The 18,749-nt window shown below is 34.9% G+C and overlaps 1 long non-coding RNA gene across 1 annotated transcript in view; it reads left to right on the plus strand.

Moving 5' to 3' along the window:
• Positions 1-18,749, plus strand: part of LINC02008 (long intergenic non-protein coding RNA 2008) — a 477,534-nt gene that overhangs the window by 201,619 nt on the left and 257,166 nt on the right. Inside the window, exon 3 of the long non-coding RNA NR_147146.1 lies at positions 14,569-14,694. This is a non-coding gene — a long non-coding RNA (long intergenic non-protein coding RNA 2008). The remainder of the gene's footprint in view (positions 1-14,568; positions 14,695-18,749) is intronic.

Here is an 18,749-nt window from a genome sequence, read left to right on the forward strand (position 1 = left end):
ATATCCTAGTGATATAAAATAAAATCAACCCCATTTCCTGAAAATGCAGCTTTTCTTGATATAGAGATCTCAGGCAATAGAGTTGTTAGATTATATACTTTTATTATAATCTTTAAATTTAAAGAATATGCACATATTTATAATTCTTGATACATATTACCAATTTTTTTCCCCAAAACCAGCATGGGCATTTTCACATAAACTTTTCAGTGCAATAAGTGGTAATAGCTCCTTTTTTATTAATTTCTTTAATTAATCCCATTTCTTTGTTGGTAGCAAGACTCAACATTTTTTTCGTTGTGTTTGCGTCTTGTTGTATTTGCTGGCTTATGAGTTGCCCAATCCCTTCTGTCTGTAAGATTTTTCATAAAGGATCTTACAAAGGGAAAGTTTGGCCCGTGGTGTTCTGGCATAGTCTATACAGGTAAATATTTCGAAGTTGGTTAAGGTCCAGCTTTTCCACAACTGAGGCATTTATGTCTAATTGCAATATTCTTGATTATGGCAGAATCTAGTCCTCTTTTGTATGTACGTTTTTAACAGAAACATCACTCAGAGTTACCCTGCCTTTTGATTTTAATATATGTAAAGTTGCAAAGAAAGAGAGCAGCAGATAACAGGGTGACAGTGCATTTTGTGATTTTGTTTGTATCAGCCAGACTGGCCTACTGTAAGCTTGAAATCTAGAATTACCTTGCACTTTAGATTCAAAATTTTTATAATTATATTTTCAATTACAGAGATAGAAGTTTTCATTCATTCTGTGACAGTCTATCTTTGCTGTAGCCCACTAGGAATAAACTATTATCGAATTCTCTTGATACTTTTTCCTCTTGCCAAACATTTCAGGAACAATATTAAATCTGTGGTTTAAGGACTCATTATACTAACACATTATTCTTATCACCTGCTTCTCTGTGTTGTGCTGATTCCAAAATAATTTAAATCATCTGCTAAAAAGGGTGTTTTTTTAAGTTTTTATGTTGTATGTAATAAGCATTAGTTATGCTAACATTATTTTAAAAACAAACCAGCATGTTTTGAAGCACTGCTTTTAATCAGATAACTCTGTAAGCATGTGGCCTACATAACCTAGAGTCTTCTCTTAGTACACATTTTTGAATGTTTTGAAGAAATGCTGGGTGCGGTTCCATCAGAAAGGCAACCTGTTCATATTCCATCACACTGACTGCATCTGCTCCAGCCACATGCTGTGTGAACTTGGACTGCTGGAGTCAGGGGAAAATCACTACTGCCACATGATGCTTTCCCCGGAAACACATGTTTTTAAAAATTTTGCAAGGGTGAAATAGAAGATGGTAGTGGTATAAAAAAAAGCAAGCACATGAATCTACCTGCAGTCTAGGTCTTAGAAGACTAGTGCCTAATTTTTTGCTACAGAGTTTGATGGATATGAAGAATGTTGAAAAGCCTGGGGGATAGAACAAAACAACAAAGAAAAGAATTTGAATTCTTTAGTCTGAAGAGAAGGTTGGAAGGTTAAAGACTATCTTATTAATGGAATTCAAGTTATACAGAAGTTTTGTAATTGAGTCAAAATGAATTAACCTTTTTCAAAGGCAATTTTGATTTCTTTTCCAATGTCTTTAAATAAGAGCAAATGAGGGAATGATAGAGGAGGAGGGGATGATGGAATATCTTTGAGCATAGGCAATTTTCCCTGGGATTTCCTTTTTCTCACCTCATGATAGTATACACTCAGGACTTAACCTGAAGATTTTTTCCCAGTTCTTTCCTTTCTATCTGTCCTTTCACCATTTCTATTCAGAATGAAACATTGACCTGACAAAACTATCCCAGGACCACCCCTGAAAGGAGATATTCTGAGACTGATACAACTGCCTTCTGATGTTAGGATGAGAAAAAAAAAAAATCAGCTTCTCAGAAGTTACCAAGCATGATTTTAATTTGGTATAAAATAGAGCAGCCATTTCTGGTAGTGATGGCTGTTACACATAAGAGTGCTGTTGGAAAATGGAGATAGATGTCTCTCTCCCTGAATCATAGGAGTTAGGTTTTCTGGTTTTAGAGATTTTTGAAAAGCAATAAATGCCCCAAATGGCTTGCCAAACTTTTCATTCCAGTTTATAGAACAAGCTAAGTATTCTTTATCTGAAGTGCTTAGGATAAGAAGTGTTTCAGACTTCAGATTTTTTTTCAGAGTTTGGAATATTTCCAAATACAAGATGAGATACCTTGGAGACGCGACCCAAATCTAAACACAAAATTCATTTGTGTTTCATGTATACTTTTTATGTATAGCCTGAAGATAGCTTTATGCAATATTTTAAGTATGTCCCCTAAATGAATAAACTCTGTGTTATACACCAAGTTTTTACTGCAAACTATTACATGAGGTCAGTTGTAGAATTTTCCACCTGTGGCATCATGTCAGCACTCAAAAAGTTTTGAATTTTGAAACACTTCTGATTTTTTGTTTTAGGGATGCTCAACCTGTATCCCAACATTATAAACATGTCCCTAAATTCTAGACTACTTAAAGTGCTCGATTCTTTCTGGAAAATATTTGGCTTGCTGTTTTTAGTTTAAAATATAATCTGAAGTTCATTATTGTTATTAACCAAGATTATTTTTGAATGATCAAAATATGCTTTAAAATCATAGAGTTTTGTTTGTTTCATTTTAGGAAATAAATACAAGGCTAACTTTTAATTTTCTTAGTTGTCATGGAAAATCAAAATTAACTACACCTTAAATTTGTATTGGTAGTCAATGTTAGGTGATCACTAAGTAATCTGTATTTAAAGTATACAAAATTTGAGTTTAATCATATAATATTAAATGTTTTTCATGTTTTTTATGTCTACTCAGAAATCTATCCACTGCTTACTATTGACCCCCCAAAAACCACTGTGATGGTGGATTTTATGTGTTAACTTGACTGGGCCAGGGGATGCCCAGATAGCTTGTTATACATTATTTCTGGGTGTGTCTGTGAGGGTGTCTCCAGGAGAGATTAACTTTGAATTGGAAAACTGGTTAAAACAAATTTTCCTCTCTGATGTGGTTGGGCATCCTCCAACCCACTAAGGACCCGAATAAAACAAAAATGAATTTTCTCTCTCTGCCTAACTGCTGGAGTTGTAGCATTGGTCTTCTTTTCTTGAACTGGGACTTCCAGTATTGGTACTCCTGATTCTCACGCCTTTAGGCTTAGCCTACAATTTATACTATTATCTTTCAGAGTCTCCAGATTGTAGATGACAGACCATGAAACTTCTCAGACTCCATAAACATGCAGCCAATTACTAAAATATTTTATAATTATTTTATTAATTTTTTTGTAGAGGTGGGGTCTTGCTATATTGCCCTAGCTGGTTTCAAACTCCCAGCCTCAAGTGATCTTCCCACCTTGGCCTCCCAAAGTGCTGGGATTACAGGGGTCAGCCACGACAGCCAACAGCCAATAGTCAATTTCTTACAGTAAATATCTATCTATCTATCTATCTATCTATCTATCTATCTATCTATCTGTCTATCATCTATTGAATCTCCTATTAAATCTCCTGTTAGTGCTGGAGAACCCTGACTAATACAGCCATTATAAAAATCTGTTGGTCAGGAAAAACTTAATAGATATATGGCAGTGAGTGAGAGTGTCTCTCGATAGAGTCTTAGCATGGTTTGAGAATGAGAAATAAGAAGAAGTTATTTCTTGAGTTTGAAAGTCTGAGCTGGGCAATCTTAAGGCAGGCCTTGGAAGGAGAACTTACAGGAATTTGTCAAAGTTTAGGACATAATAGCTTTGGATCTGTAGATACAGCAAGGTGAGGATCTCCAAGAGAATCTGGATGAACAAGCTGTTAATCTTGGTAAGTAAACTCTTTAGTTAATACAGTCTTATCTTATAGTAGCAGATGTTTTATGGAGCAATAAGCTAAGTTATTTTGCTTGATCCCAGCATTGTTTAACACAGGGACAAGAAAGTATGCCTGGCCCAAGCATTAGCATGGTGTAGGGAATTATGTTAGTTTAAATTTATTGACTTTATATTGGACCTTGCAAATCAGTAATTATACAATAGAGGACTAAAATTCTTAATTGCCATTTATTAAAAACAGTTGAATGTGCAATTGTAAGATCTATTTTTTCTTCCATAATAAGAAGACAGATTAGCTTTTATTTTCATGTATCACATATCAAATATTAGTGATTCTATTGATGTTTCCAGCTAATATGATATTTTAAGTCATAGTATAACATTTTAATACATGAATTCCTTATTTAATTGTGCTGTAACCAAATGTCAAACCTCTTTGAAGTTTGCACATACTGAGTTAATTTTGAAGCATATTCATTAAGACCTTGATTTAAAATAGTGTAAATGCTGATAGGCAAAGAAATATATAAAGTTTACTGAAAAAATATTTCTTAATAAAATAATATAATTTTCATGTTACCAGAAAGAGAACAGAATGTAAAATAAAACCTGTAAGCCTAAAATACCAACCTATTAAATACAAATAATATTTTGTATATAATATCACTGGGCACAAATATCTTGAATTAATATTAAAAATTTTAATAGTAAAAGAAAAATTATCCTTAAATTATAGGTGGGAATTGAATAATGAGAACACACGGACACAGGAAGGGGAACATCACACACTGGGGCCTGTTGTGGGGTGCGGGGAGTGGGGAGGGATAGCATTAGGAGATATACCTAATGTAAATGACGAGTTAATGGGTGCAGCACACCAACATGGCACATGTATACATATGTAACAAACCTGCACGTTGTGCACATGTACCCTAAAACTTAAAGTATAATAATAATAAAATTAAAAAAAAAGAAAAAAAAAGAAAAATCATCCTTAAATGTTTGTTCAATGGAAGGAAGAAATGGATAATTTTACAGACATGTAGCCATTACAATTATGTTCATGCAAATGTTTCAATTATGTAAACTTGTGTATGGGATAACTCAAGTGTAATGAAACCAGCAAATCATATTTGCTGTATATATAATCTTGTGGAAGACATTATCAGTTGCCTCCCAAATATCTAATTTATTCCATTTTACTTGCACTGATATTTGAGGGGGAGAAATGCCACCTAAACACAATCCTGGCCCAAATTTCTTTAAGATACAGGTGGCCAAATGATATTCTGCTATGGATTTCTGGGAAACTTTTGTTTTATTGACCTAAGTACTGTTCCATCCTCTTTGATGCTTCCTTCTTCTTTCTGGGTGTAATACAGGGAGCATATCTTGCCAGTATGAGGTTGCCATGAAGATACAGCTGTAATGTAAGGATGCAGGAGTAGGAAAAACAAAGGGCATGGTCCCTGTAGGTACTATAGCAGCCATGGACTGCCTGTCTCTGTATTGCTTATTGTGCTAAAACAAACAAAAACAATAGTGGAAAAAAAAAAGAAAACATTTGGGAAGAAAACACCTTCTCGTTAATTAAGCCCTTGTAATCGGTTTTTACTGCATGCTGCAGAACACAATTCTCAGCTGCCACACATCTCAATTCTGCTAAAAATGAAGTAAATAAGTGAAAGATAGCAAACCAAATATTAATTGTAGTAATTTATGCATGTTGTAGTTGTTGATAAATTTAAAGCTGCTATTCTGTCTGTGCTACAAATTTTTAAGCACGTGCAGTGATTGTATGTTTATTTTATCATCGGAAAAATGAAATAATTGTATTTATCTATATTGAAAGTGAAAATCCCTTTTAAAGGAGATTTATAGAGTCACAAGTTTAATGTGCCTATATATTTTCATGACACATGTACCAGACATGCACATAAAAGAAATAAAGAATGCTGATATTTTATGTGCAGAAGAAAAGTTTATTAGGACACTAATATGCCTTTTAGACATACTAGGAGTCTGCACAGTCTAACAATTATATGAACAAAGAAATTTCAACAAATTTAAGCAGAAAAGCTGTGATGTTTCTGTTTCTTTCATAGGCTGTTTACAAACTTTAATTCAATATACAGACTTACAGCACATCGTATTTAGCAACACCCATGGAAAATTAATAAGTTTTCCTAAGTGTATGTGAGTGTGTTGGCAAGTGTATTAGTCCATTCTCACATTTCTCTACAGAGCTACCTGAGACTGGTTAGTTTATACAGAAAAGTTTAATGGACTCACAGTTTTGCAGGATGTACGGGAGGCATGGCTGGGGAGGCCTCAGGAAACTTACCATCATGGCAAAAGACGAAGCAAGCACATCTTCACATGGCTACAGGAGAGAGAGCTAAAGGGGAGGTGATGCACGGTTTTAAACAACCAGATCTCGTGAGAACTCAATCATGAAACAACACTAGGGGGATGGCGCTAACCCATTAGAAACCACTCCCATGATATAATTACCTCCCATCAGGCCCCACCTCCAACATTGGGAATAACAGTTCAACATGAGGTTTGAGTTGGGACACACCACCAAACTGTATCAGCAAGGTGAAGAGAAAGGGCTGTTGTTATATGGATCGGCCCTTTGTGATCAGAAATTGTTCACAAAATAGTTCAAAGCGTTAGAGGTGGTTCTTTTAAAAGTTCTTTCTTTGGTTAATGAGTCAGTCTCTTGTAGTGTTAATATTTATGAAATGAAACATGTTTTGGTTTCTGTTATGAACTGAAAATTTAAATGAGAGAGTCTATAAGTTATCCCAAGCATTCTGGTGAGGATTTCCTTATTTTCATTTCTGTCTTCCCTCCCCAACCCCCTGTAATTTGGTAGCAAGATAAATAAATGGATTTTATGGTTTCAATGAATTGGTTTTTAATGTCAAAAATGTTTGAGGAAATTACATGGTTCTAAAGTGTAAGATATTCAAAACTGAGGTAAGTAAAAGACATGTAAGAAACTTTTTATGGAGATTTATTTATTTTTTGTTCCATAGATCATTCAACAACAGTGGCTGGGCCACTGTGGCTATCACATCACTTCATTAGCATTGCAGGAGGTTAAACAATCAAATTGAGATCTTTTTCTGTAAGTGTTCATTGTAGTTCTAGAGACCAGACCAATAGGAGACCAATAGTTTATATAAATGTCAGAGCTAGAAGAATGCTCACTGCTCACTCATTCTATTCCCTTTATTTTACAGATGAGGAAACTAAACGACTCCAAACAAAAAGAAGTCCTCTAATTTCCCCCAACACGTCAATTTTTTTTTTTTAACCTCAGGACCTGAACACATTTTTATTTGCTAGGACACATCCTGACTTGCTTAAATAACTCTAAACTTATCATCTTCTTCCAGGATTTCCTGCACCAAACAAATCTGGATTAGGCTTCCTTCTTCATTCACTCAGGGAAACCTGTACATCATTTCTTGTGTCAGTCACCATGCTGAGTCATAACTATTATTTTACATTTCTTTGTGGCTCTCTAATTGTAAAGTAATTGAGGGTGAGCAAGAACTAGGTCTCCTTTTGTTCATCATGGCTCCAGTATACAGCAAAATAGCTTACACACAGTAGGTGATCAAAAATGTTTATACGTTGAATGAATGACTTGCTGAAATTTATCAATTAAATGTGTAATTTAGTAAACGATGTTTGTCAAACATACACATACCTACATATAAAAGCGAAACATGTATTTCTGTTTAGGGATTATTACAATATAGGTGAAAAAAAAAGCAGAATAGTTCTAGTTTAGAAGAAATTGTGGCTGTTTCTTTTGTTTGTAAGTAGCCAGGAAAACAATATATTAATTTTGTTCAAAAGTATAAAATTTAAGTTTCCCAAGAAACACTGCAGTTCTGTGATAACAATGCTTTTCCCAGAAATAATGATGAATAAACTATTGCATTCACACAATTAAATTCTAAGCTGCAATGGGGGTAAATGAACTATACCTACATGTAATACTACAGATGAATCTCATAAAAATGATGGTGACAGAAAAAAGCAAGAAAATTAAAAGTATATATTTATAATTGCACTTATAATACTCTTCAAAAATAAATAGGCAAAACTTATCTGTGATGTTGGAAATCGGCTTAGTAGTTTACCTTTATGGGAGTAGTGATTGGGTAGAGGTAACAAGATGTTTCTGTGGTGCTGACCCCAGTCACCTTCTTCCTATAGGTTCTGGTTTCATAGGTCTTCATTTTATATACATTTATTGTGACATATGTGATAATTTGTTTACTACCTTGTGTATATTTTATTTCAAATAAAACTACATACACATGCCCTCACTCCCCTAAAACTCAAATTTAAGGACCCAGGCCACGGTGCTGGCCAATGAAATAATGAGTTACAATTTACATACACACATAGGCATTGGTTTATACTCACTGGTGGGGATCTATGAATAAATGTCTCAGTTTTTCCGGCAACTCATGAGACTATGGCATTGTGAAGTGGAGTTCACTTAACACATGCTTTATTGGTTTTTCTACCTACATGCCTCCTTTTCTCCACTTCCTCCTGTGTGTTTTCCTGAATCACTTCCTAATAGAATAGCTACACCAAAGGCCTTGCCTTAGTGCCTGCTTCGCAGGGAACACAATGATACTCTTCTAACACATATTGTCATTTGGGAATTTTTTAAGTTATAAATTTGTCTTTTCCATTTTCCTCTGAATTTCATGGACATAGAGCTTTGCCAGATGTGTAAATCATAAGAGAATGTTGAATCCTACCTCCTTTCAGCATTTTTATGAAGATGTCTAGACAGAATGATTAAATACGAGAAGTACTTGCTTTTCACAATATTTTTCCGCTCCTTGTCCAGGATGAGTGCCTGTAAATAAATTTTTAGTGACTTTCCTCAATGTTAAGATATATTAATATTTCCAGGAACCTGTTTTTAAAATGCCAGAGATGATCCATTAGTATATTATCAGTTGTTATTATCTTAGTCACACACAAATGTTTTCAACTTGACACAAAGCTCTTGAGAGGAGGACCTGTTCAATGACAAGTTCACAGGGAAGCCTTCCACTTTTTCTCTCTTCTTTACACCTGTATAGGCATCATGTTTTAAAGCCACAGTATTATTTTGCTAAGACTGCCAGAGGTACCACAGACCAGATGGCTTAACCAACATAAATTTATCTTCTCACAGCTCTGGAGGCTAGAAGTCCAAAATCAAGGTGTCAGCAGATTTAGCTTCTTCTGAGGCTTCTCTCCTTGGCTTCTCTTGTGTCCTCAGGTGGCCTTTCCTCTGTGCATATATTTTTCAGGTGCCTTTCTGTATATCCTAATATCTACTTCTCATAAAGACACCAGTAAGGTTGCATCAATGCAAACCCTAAGGGCTTTGTTTAACTTAACTACCTCTGTAAAGTCCCTTTATCCAACTGGAGTAACATTCTGAGGTGATGGGGGTTAGGACTTCAACATAAAAATTGAGAGAAGACAAAAATTCATCCCATAACAACCACTTTGGCTCTAGAAAATACAATAGTAGAGTCCACTGACAGGAAACAAGGAGGAAAGCTGGCCATTTCTGTCACTCAGCAGACAGAAATGAGATGGTAGGATCTTCCCAGGCTAAATACAAGCAAAGGTGAGGTGACGTATGCAAAGCAGAAATTCTCATCAGCGATAAGTAGTGAGATTTTTCTGGAGTTCGATGCCACCTGTGCTGTTTTGGTTTGGCTGCCAGAAAGTGTACCAATTTAGTCAAAGAAGGGCACATCATATTACAAAGGTACTCATTGGTTTTTCAGTTTGTTATTGCAGAGTCTTTAGAAACGGACTCTACTGGGACTTGTGGTTCTGCATCTATCCCTAACTAGTTCCAATATTGTACCTGTTACTTAGTCTCTTGATTCTTTATCTGGGAACTGAGGATAATATTTCTCTTGAAGGATTCATGTGAGGTATAAATGAGACGATGCATATACATTACCAAACAAATAGTAGGCCTTGATATATGCTCAATCAACCTTTATGTCCTCTGCTCACATTATCTCTATGTTCACATGTCCTGAGAAAATACTTCATAAGCCATGTAAGTTTTGAAATGGTGGAGAAGGCTGAAGCAATAGAAAATTTGGGTGGCCAGGAGCAGGAGAATACTTAGGAGGTTGGCAAAATAAAGTATTCAGAAACCTAAGGGTAGATAGGCAGAGATTAAATAGAAATTTAGAATTTTAAAATCCTATCCTTGGCTAATGTGTTGCATATGTAAAGGGCATTGGCAGAAATGACATTGTTTATAGAACCTAGTAATAGTAACTAATCAGGCTTCAGAAGATGAATTAAAGGAATACTTGTTCCCCTTCAGAGAACACTGGTTTATTCATTGCTCTGTATGCCACCTCAATATTGTATAGTAAACTGGAAGGTCAAAATGAGCATCTTTTTAAGGAGTTCTGCGCTTGTTTGTTGATACTTCTTCTAATTGCTTACTTTCTATACTTTTCTAGGCATTTGCCTAATGGATTTGGGATATTGACAATTGTAGAGCCATGGATTTGAGCTGTGCAGTGTAAACACCTAAATGTTTGTTTGTTCTGTGCACACACTAAGAAAGTAAACGTGGATGTCTTTTAAAATCATGAACAACTACCATAGAAAAACTCAGGTTAAAGCAGAGTCTAAATCATTCTCTAAAATAGCAGAACAAACAGGCACAAAGCTTACTGGTGCTTGGCCATTTTTACATTGACTACGGCCATGTAATTCCCAAAATATTGCTCCTTCAGTATTGTGTGCACTCTGACATATCACCATTTCCTATCTTAGCAATACTTTAAATAATATAACTAACTCAATGGTTAAACCTCTGAAAATTTGTTTTTTTAAACAAGTTTTATTGTTAATTGCCTAAGACCTGCCGATTTAGAGTATGCTAAGTAAAGTTCAAAAGCTGAATGGTTTCTTTTCTATTTCTTGTTGCTTGTGGCTCGTTAAATTAGAGTGTAGGAGAAACTGTGACATAACAAAGGCACACAAAAATGGACTGGAAAATCATAAGGAAGAAAGATGTGATGACGGCTATAAAAGGCTGGGAAAGATGATACCAAGGACAAGGATAACAGGATGGGAAAACAAGTGAAAAAAGAGATTATCACACTATTAGGGGCTCCTTTTCTTTGTCATCATTACCAGCTTCTCTCAAAGTAAATGGCTTCCGAATAGTATATATATATATATATATATATCTTTGAGGATGTATTTATGCACAACTCTGCCCTGAAATTCTGCTGGTTCATTTAAACAGGCATATTTTTGTGTACATCGTGTTCAAGCTTTGCTCACTTAAAAAAAATAAACCTTTACAGGTATCGAGAAACTCACGCCGTATAACACTAATGACTTTAAAAACAAGCTCTATCCATCTCACTACAATAATCACTGTTCCATTATTAATTTTAAAAACCCTTCAAATTAATCATGAAAATTCCCATTTAGAAAAGTCTCCTTGACTTTTGTTTTACATTAGTAGTTTTTGGCCAAAGGTATGAATTATGTAATAAACCTATATAGTACTTATTAGTACAGCTAACAGCAACAGCACACCCTTCTTCACAAAAATACAAATATCTTTTAAAATTTTAAATTTCTGTGTTTTCAGAGTGCATAAATTTGACCTTGTTAAGTCCAAAAATATCCTTTTGATCCACCCTTTGAGGATGAATAAGTAGTATAAGTTCATCATGTAGTGTACTTATTTGAAAGTGTACTTTAGTTCCACAAAATAATTTTAGGGATCAGGCTAAGATATCATCTTCCATTACCCATCTACTGTCTACCTATCATCTAATCGATCTCATCTGTCTGCCTTTTATCTATTCATAAGATGTATATTCCCACTTTCATCAAAATCTGATTTGAATATGGGCATACCTGTCTGATTTTTGTTTTGTTTTGTTTTTGGCTACACATTCAAAAACATGATGAGGAATGTTAATCTATCTTGTTCTGTTTTGAAGTTTTTCTTAGCCATTAGTGGCAGTGTTTTTGTTTTTGTTTTTGTTTTTGTTTTTAACTATACAGGGTACACATCTTGAAGGAATGCTGCAAAGACTGGTGATGAAATGCTTGACAGCTGTTAGAGTTGAGCAGGTCATATTTTTCTTTTAAAAAAGAAACCAGAGCAGCGATTCTTCCCTTACTGCTCAGTGTCTTTTCATGATTTAAGTTACCTGCCATCACAAGAGAAATTTGACATTGTTGGAGTAGTGGACTTTTCATGTTCTTTCATTTTATTTTATTTTTATATTTTTTGCCAAGTAATGTTCAGAGCCCCCTTTGTTGTTCTTATTGTTTAGGTGAGGCTCTATAAGCAGCAGAAGAGAAAGTGGAATTAAGAGTAAAATCTTGACTTATTCTATTTGTTTGCTTTCTCTCAATAAAGTATATTAGGTTGGGAAAGAGTAAAATTTAAAATGATTAAAAAACCTATATTAAACTTTCTTTTACAATGAAATTATGTACAGTTCATTTGGATAATATTAGATCACTAAGAACTTAGGCATGAATACATTCCATCAGTGCACTGGTTAGTAAACCTTTGTCATAAATAAGGTTGGCAAATTATCCTGGTCATAAGCAAATAAGGAGTAAGGATGAGGTATTTTACTTAATTACTTTTGTTCTCTTTCCCTGGCATAAATATGTAACTGAGAGGTAATCACACAAAATATATAGTTGTATTTTTGTGTGTTTGCTTTTAAACATTGTATTTTCAGGGTTGTCAACATAGAACATAGCTTCTTTAGAGTCAAGCAGTTTTGTTGTGAGCCAAAGGTTACCTTAAGCCATGAAATAGTATATTTGAATAAACAATTCATGAATGTAGTTTATCTTTTTATACTTCCCTAAATGTATGAATTGTTTAAGTATCTGCCCATAAACCCTTGACTCTGCTCTCTATACTCTCTTTGCAATGAAATCTACTCCCAAATATTCATGATGCTGTGAGCTATCATAATTCCTGGAACCTTCTGATTTCACCTACAGTTGCCTCTGAAGCAAGCAGGACTGCCTGCTTCAATGTCTCTGAAACAGTTGAGCAGAGGATTGATACATGTGAATGGGCTTCTGGTCTCAAACAGAGTTCTTCTGTATAGAACACACCACAGATTTGTCATTGTCCCTCTACAAAATATCTCATTATTTATCTTCCTATCTCTGCTGTGATACATGTATGTAAAAATTGCAAAACATCTCAATGATGTTTATGCCCCCCAGAAGGTACTGTGTGAGCATAAACATCAAGAAGATGAGATATTCTTTGAAAAGAAAGGGGAATAAGAATTTATAGATTATCTCTGGGCAGATTAGAAGAACATATCTTCATAATTTTACAAAAATCAAAGCTGTCCCTCAGCCCAAAGCTGCATACATTCCGTGTTCTCTCTCACAAATCGTGCTTATCCTGACAAATTGGTCTTCTAGTCTTTCACTTTAAATTAAATATCTAAAACCTCAAAAATCTGAATTCCTTTTAAAAGACATGATTTGACCATAGCCCCATCACTGTCTCACCAAACATCTGACTCACTTATTCATAAATATTGCATGATATAAAGTCTAAAACTAGAACTTAACCTTCTTTTAGTCGATTAAAAATACACTTCTTCAAATAGCAGGGAGTCAACCAAGTAAAGTAATTAAAATATGTAAATGAATCATTTTGCTGTTTGAACAAGTGTAGTGAACAGAAAGAAAAAGATAGAAGATTGCATTTGGAGAGACTCTCTAAAAGAAGGACCATTTCTAATTTTAGTCTTTATGTTGTGCCTCTTGCCTGTCATGGCAGATTTTATTCATCTAAATAACTGCAACACCATCTCCCACCCCACATGTTCTTCTAACAGTGTGACTCCTCACTTCTCTCACTGAGAATCGACGTCTGTATTTTCTTTAAATGCATCTGGATGGAAACATAATTGCTCTCATCAAGAGAGTACAGCAAGAGTGGTGCTATGTGACTTATAAAACTAGGTAATAAAAGGAATAAAAGATCCACAGGATTCTTTCCTGTGAAACTTGCACTGGGAACCAAACCACCATACTCTCACGAAGCCCAAGCTAGCCCATGATGATAGACCACAGAGAGAAACTGAGGTGCCAGCCAGCCACCGTCATCCACCAAACATATGAGTGAACAAAGCTTTTGAGTATACCACCTGAGGGCCCAGCCAACGTGGAATAAAGACAAAGCATCCCTGTTGTGCCCTGTCCAAATTCCTGGTCCTAGGAGTCCCTGAGTACCATAATTTGTTATTCTATGCCATTAATTTTGGGGGTAATTTCTTATATAGCCACAGTAACTGGAATATCTACTTTCTCTTGAGTGAGGCATGAGAAGAAATGAAGAGAGTCAAGTCATTGGCTGACCTTACATTTAGTTTGACTAAATATGCATTTAGAACTAGGTGTCAGATATTTTTATTTGATATGTACATTTATTTCTAATTATATTTTAAACAAAACAAAACTAAACTTAAAATCAATGAAAATCATACTTTTGCATTTACATTTCTATGTGTTTGCGTGTGTGTGTGTGTGTGTGTGCATGTGTGGTTGTTTCCATCTATTCCCTGATTCATTGGCCCACACTGTATCAAATCTTGGGTCTTTTTGTGCAGGTCACGGGATCTCATATATTCTGGCTGTCATTGTCATAATAAGCCACTCTTGGTCATATGGAAAAGCATTCAGCTGCTCCCTGCCTTTGCTCACAGCGTGTGGTACTCTCTTAGAAGCTATTCCTGGTGAGTATCTGGCTTGCGACTCCCTGAAGCTCTCTCAGTGCAATTCTGTACTAATCTCCTCTGTGCTAGCGAAAAAGAATATATAGGGCTGACCACACTTTTAATCCTTAATATGACATCTGATTTAATATGTCTATATGGAATTATGAAAAAAGTATTCGAAATATTTGAGTTACTCATGTTGAGAAAAGATAGAATAATGACTCTTAGGATATATATGGAAGAAATGTAGAGAATTCACACTTCAAGTGGGATGTAATTTTAGAATAGAATTGTAGAGAGAAATACTACAACTGTTGATATGTATTTAGAGCAAATTTTAGAAAATTTAAAATGTGACTTAATTTAATTTCATATAACAAATCCCAAATGGGTTTCCTAAAGGTTTTTTTTTTTCTTTTGCCACAAATGGATTTCCCTTTAGAGTTATGTCAATGGGAATTTTTTTTTCAATGAGTCAAGTAGCAACAATAACGTGCTAACATTTTTTCCTAAATGTCTTTCCTAAATATCTTAATATTTGTATGTTGTAGCTGCTGAAATATCTGTCATCAAAGGGACAATAATTCAAATAAGCACAAAGCTTAAACACACATTTTACATATTATTGGATTCTTGGTTTGAATGTAAATGTTCTAAACATAGCTTATTGACACAATGGTGCCATAATTAAAAATAGGCAGAAATTATCTATAATGACCAATTTTCTAAAAACATAATTCTTTTGAAATGATATGTTTTAAATTTTTTACTCAGAGAAACAGTAGAACATTTTAGTTAGTATTGAAAACTTTGGTAAAATTAAACCATATTAAAAATGTTAAGAGTATCTATTTTATACACATACAAGATTTTGAGGGATGTTTTCAGTGTTTTTTGCCAATTTTAGACAATGTACCAAATGATAGAATTCATAGTAGTTTCATAGGAGCTTGACTATGTCTGTGGTTTGCAATGAACACAGATGCATTTATTTTGATATTAGATATTTAAATGCATGCAGTTAATATATTTAAATTTATGATTACATATTCAAACTGTATGAAAGCACAAGGTATGTGAAAAGCTTATCTTATACATTTTTTCATTCAACAAACACAATGTCTGGACAGAGATTCTCAATCTGAGACTGAGTTATTATTGGACAGATGCTTATTGTTTTCTCCATGTAAGACTGATTTTTTCATAGAAATAAAAAAATACTTTCTAATTTGCTCAACTATTTTGATCTTGTCTTACTTTTCAAAAAGCTTCCTATGAAATGCCTAGTCTTTTTAATTTCTTCTTATGATTTTTATTCTTAATTTTTATATTTATTATTGTTGTTTTGTTGTAAAAATTGAGCCATCTTGAAGATTATGAATGATTTAAGAAAACAGTTAAATATTAGAATAAATGAATGTATCATCCAACTGTTGTGTCCCAAGAGTCTAAGAAAGAAAAACAAATCAGGAAATAAGTTACATTACTATTCAATGAGAAGTAATACAAATTTAGATCCATTTAATTTAAAATACTTTTATGTAAACAATTAAGTGAGAGATGAAAGAGTAATTTTACAAGCACTGTTGACAAATGGTGTAATTAGAAAGAACATGTGTATCAAAGAATGTTCCTTCACTAGATCATTTTGAATGCGTAAATGACATTGAAACCATGCATCAAATATTGAAAGAAATAGGATATAATAGCATGAAGGAAAAAGTGAGACTATGTGTATACAATAATTTTCTTTTCTATCTTTTTTTTACTATTTATTTACTTATTTGTTTTGAGGATTTCATTCTAAAAGAGAGGATAGGAAATAAAAAAAGAGAACGGAATGAGGAGAACTGTATATTTACATTTATGTCAACACATTTAAGTTGATAAATTTGAAAACTATAAAATAATTACTGTGTATTTATCAAGTAGTATTCTATCAGAGAAAAAAATCAAACTGAGTAATATGCAGTAAGAAATTTATGGTGGTAATTGACCTTATCCAATTGTGAAAACTGGTTTTGCAGTCCTATTTAGGCAGTTATTCCTGCTTCTTGTGTTGGACCTGAAGTCAACAGGGCCAGCAATAGAGAAGAAAGATGATGTGAAGGAGAGCAACTGAAATGGGAGAGTTCTCTGACCCACTCGTGGAACCTGCTTGGGCTGCCATGTGCTCAAACCCTTTATGGAGGGGAGATGCAGACAGGTAGGAGCCAGGGCAAGCACTTTTGGGCTCCAGTCCCACAGTGGCGTCTAGGAGTGTGTTACAATTAATGTTCTTTTAGCAGTTGCCATTCGTGGACAGCTAAGTGTTTAACCAGTTCAGTGGAGAGTCAAGGTGACAACCTTTTACACCTTTCCCTCTTGGTACCGAGGTCCTTTGTCCAGCATCCAGGAAGGATCAGGTCACATGGATTTGAAGGATAGTGAATGTGGGGATTTTATTGAGTGATGGAGGTGGCTATCAGTGGGATGGATGAGGAACTGGAAAGGAGATGGAGTGGGAAGATGATCTTTCCCCAGAATTGGGCTGTTCCACAGCTGATTTCCTCTCCAACCCTAGCCAAACTCCTCTGGACGTTCAAATGCTCCTTCTCCTTCTCTGCTGTGCTGCTCTGTCACTCTGCTGCTCTGCCTCTCTGCCGCTCTTCCGTTCATGGAGCTTAGGGTTTCGGATTTTTATGGCTACAAGACTGGGAGTGGTGGGCCAGAGTGGTGTTGGAAAAGGCAAAATTTGGGAGTGAAAACAGGAATGCCTCTTTCCATTTAGGCCTGTGGGTTTCCAGGTTTGAAGGTGGGGCCTTTGCTGGGGAACCACCCTCATCTACTCAGTATTTCCTTGCCTCCTGTCCGTATCACAATGACAAGCTGTAATTTGGGAGAATGGACAGAAATCCAAAAGATTGAACTGGAGCCTGTATGCCTCTGTCTCACCTCTTGCAACTTTGATGATATGGGTAACAGGCAGATCGTGCCAGTGCCTTCATCAGTGGAGCTGTATACATACCTGGTCCAGGATTTGTAGAAGGTGATAGAGGAAATGTTGCAGAAGCTAGAATTGCAGGCACAACTGGTGCCTCAGGCAACAGGTTAAGCCAGTATCAGCGGCAGTGCTAATATGACCCTATATCAATGGTGGTATCAGTTGACCTATAACAGTCGGGGTGATATGTCACCTCCAAGGGGACAAAAATTGGTTTTGTGGGGGGTGGGGAAAAATTCCTATGAACATGATTCTTGGTCTTCAGTGGCGTAACTCTACTTGACAAAATCTTGTTACTTAGTATTTAATTTCAAAAGGAGGGAGAGGAAATTAGGGGAAAATATTTGAAAGACTTATATGGAAGGCAATGATTTAAAAAAATGTTGAGAAACAGTTCTTACACTAACCCTTAAATGTAAACATGGAGATTGCTTTCACTTCCACTTCCAAATCTCATTCAGATTTGTACAACAGCCAGTTGTAAATTGACATGACAACAAGTCTCCATATTTGTGCATTATAAAGTTCAATATTTCTCATGTGTCTATACCACATTGAAAACATCTTATCTTTTGGGACATTAATGTTAAATTCATATCTATACTCTGAGCTAGTTGTCTGACACTGGGCAGATTATGTAATGTTCACAATCACAAAATGACTATTATATTGTTTTCCCTGCTGCTGCTGTGAAGTTTAAATGAGTTGCCTCAAGGGAAAGCACATGATCTAAAGTGACAGCAAGGTGAGTAAATGTTTACAGCTAATACATTACCATGTTCCATATAATATCAAACATAGACCTTCAATATCATTTATGTATTGGTAAGGATGCTGGACATTTGGACATTCATAAGTTTTTATCATTTAATACAATTTTTTACTTTACAGTTGTGAAAAGTTATATAAATAGGTGAGGTAATTCACTTAGCAGGTCAATGGCTAAATTCTAGCTATCTCCCATACTTCTAAAGTCTCAATCTAGTTTTTTCTTCAATTTCATAATCTGCCTCCTTTAAGATTATAAATCACTAATTTTTTAAATTAATGTTTTTCTTATTTAGTATGTTGAGAAAATATTTTCATTAGA

This window comes from Homo sapiens, chromosome 3, assembly GCF_000001405.40.
Source record: "Homo sapiens chromosome 3, GRCh38.p14 Primary Assembly".
Classification (NCBI taxonomy): domain Eukaryota; kingdom Metazoa; phylum Chordata; class Mammalia; order Primates; family Hominidae; genus Homo; species Homo sapiens.